Source organism: Homo sapiens, chromosome 6 (genome assembly GCF_000001405.40).
Source record: "Homo sapiens chromosome 6, GRCh38.p14 Primary Assembly".
Lineage (NCBI taxonomy): Eukaryota > Metazoa > Chordata > Mammalia > Primates > Hominidae > Homo > Homo sapiens.
In genome coordinates this window covers 63,211,257-63,213,263 of record NC_000006.12, presented here as the reverse complement: position 1 = coordinate 63,213,263, position 2,007 = coordinate 63,211,257, and the positions used below count along the sequence as shown (strand labels likewise).

The following is a 2,007-nucleotide window of genomic DNA, read 5'->3' as shown; positions in this document are numbered from 1 at the left end:
CCTGAGAAAGGAACCCAGATAAGACAAATGTAACTTTCTCAAGTTTTAAGATGGGAGTCTCAATTTTTATGTTTATTCAAAAGAAACCATAAACAGCAGTTCTATGAGTAATTAGGCTGGTTCCATACCATATTTTTATTTATATTTAGTTATTTATTTAATTTTTTTATTTCCATAGATTTTTGGTGAACAGGTGCATACTGTATTTTTATTTTATTTATTTATTTATTTATTTATTTTTTGAGAAAAGCCAGCATAAAGCACTTTTATTGCAATAATAAAACTTGAGACTCATATATGGTGCTAGGGGAAGGGGGCAGCAACGATTCCTCTCACCAAATCACTACACAGGACAGCAAAGGGGTGAGAAGTGGCTGAGGGAGGAAAAGCCAGGAAACTCTGAGATCAGCAGAGGGAGCCAAGCATCAAAAAACAGGAGATGCTGAAGCTGGGATGACCAGCATCATTTTCTTAAGAGAACATTCAAGGATTTGTCATGATGGCTGGGCTTTCACTGGGTGTTAAGTCTACAAACAGCACCTTCAATTGAAACTGTCAATTAAAGTTCTTAAGATTTAGGAAGTGGTGGAGCTTGGAAAGTTATGAGATTACAAAATTCCTGAAAGTCCGTTAGAAAAACCACAGGATGAAAAAAAAAAAAAAAAAAATAAGGCCACAAAGAAGGCTTCAGAGGTCCCTGCTGGCCCAGGGACAGATACCTGTAGTGTCCAGCATCGCAGTGAACATGACCTGCTTTCAAAGGCAGAGGGTTTAAGGGGAGGGTGGGGTGGGAATGGTGGAGGCAAAGCCTCTCCCCATCCCCACCTCAGTTTTAGGTAGGGCTTTTAATTTAACCCAAGGACATCTCTCAACTTGGAGAATAATTCAGTCCTCAACAGTGCCTCAAATCTGCTATGGTTTTGCAGCGCAGCAGCAAGAATGTTTAATATATAATAGATAAAAATTTCATCCAAAAAATTAAAATAAAATATTCTTGCAACCCCCTCAACACCAATTCCTATCCTAACGTTAACTTATCACTTGTGCTGTTAACACTTGACCATGTACTTAATTGGAAACCTATATTCAAAAGACTGAAACTGAATCTTCACCCCAAAATGAAAAAGTAAAATGAATAACTTGACGTTTATGGCATATAGTTTAGGTAAACGCACATACCAGGAGAAAGGGGAAGAGGAAACAGAGGTGTCGGAAGCAAAGCTGAGTGACAGAACACATTCAGTTGGGGCAGATGTCTATACAAAGTGGAGTGGAACATCAGGAAAAGCTCCATATGGATTTATGTGCACACGTCTGGAGGCACCAGATCCCTCCATGGCAGATCCAAGAACAGGGAGCTAAGGGAGGAGGCCATTCCTGTCATTCCAGTTTTAGAAGCTCCACATCGAAGACGAGAGTGGCATGTGGTGGGATGATGCCTGGGTGCCCAGTGGCACCATAGGCATAATCTGGAGATATAGTCAGTTTGGCTCTCTGACCCACACTCATCTGGACAACCCCTTCTTCCCAGCCTCGGATCACCTCCTGCTTGCCTAGCATAAACTTAAAGGGCTTGTTTCTGTCCCGGGAGGAATCAAATTTCTTTCCATCTTCAAGCATCCCGGTGTAGTGCATCACGCAGGTCTGGCTGCGCTTCGGGAAGGTGCGCCAGTCTCCTGGGGAGATGGTTTCCACGTGCACTCCCATGGCGGCGGCCGACGCCGAGCGGGCGGGCAGCGCGACGGGCGGCGTGGACCGACAGCGACCTGGCGGCGGTTCCACGGCTCTGCCTAGTCCCTCAGCGCGTTGCCTGCCCATACTGTATTTTTAAAATCTACAAATTCTATATTAGTGCCTTCTGGGCAAGTGTGTTGAATGAGTCACTTAAAAATCTCTAAATAGGTTTTTTTTTTTTTTTCCCGTACTGGAAGTGTTACCATTTCCTTGTTAACTTTGTTAACTTTGTGTTTGGTCTCCCATTATCTGTGGCGGCTACGTTCCAAGATC

The 2,007-nt window shown here is 43.3% G+C and overlaps 1 protein-coding gene across 1 annotated transcript; it reads right to left on the bottom strand.

Moving 5' to 3' along the window:
* Nucleotides 1-236: 236 nt before the first annotated feature.
* FKBP1C (FKBP prolyl isomerase family member 1C) lies at nt 237-1,795 on the bottom strand. The gene has a single exon (NM_001395980.1). The coding sequence runs from the start codon at nt 1,705-1,707 to the stop codon at nt 1,381-1,383; it is 327 nt and encodes a 108-aa protein (NP_001382909.1). The 5' UTR covers nt 1,708-1,795; the 3' UTR covers nt 237-1,380.
* Between the last annotated feature and the right edge of the window lie 212 nt (nt 1,796-2,007).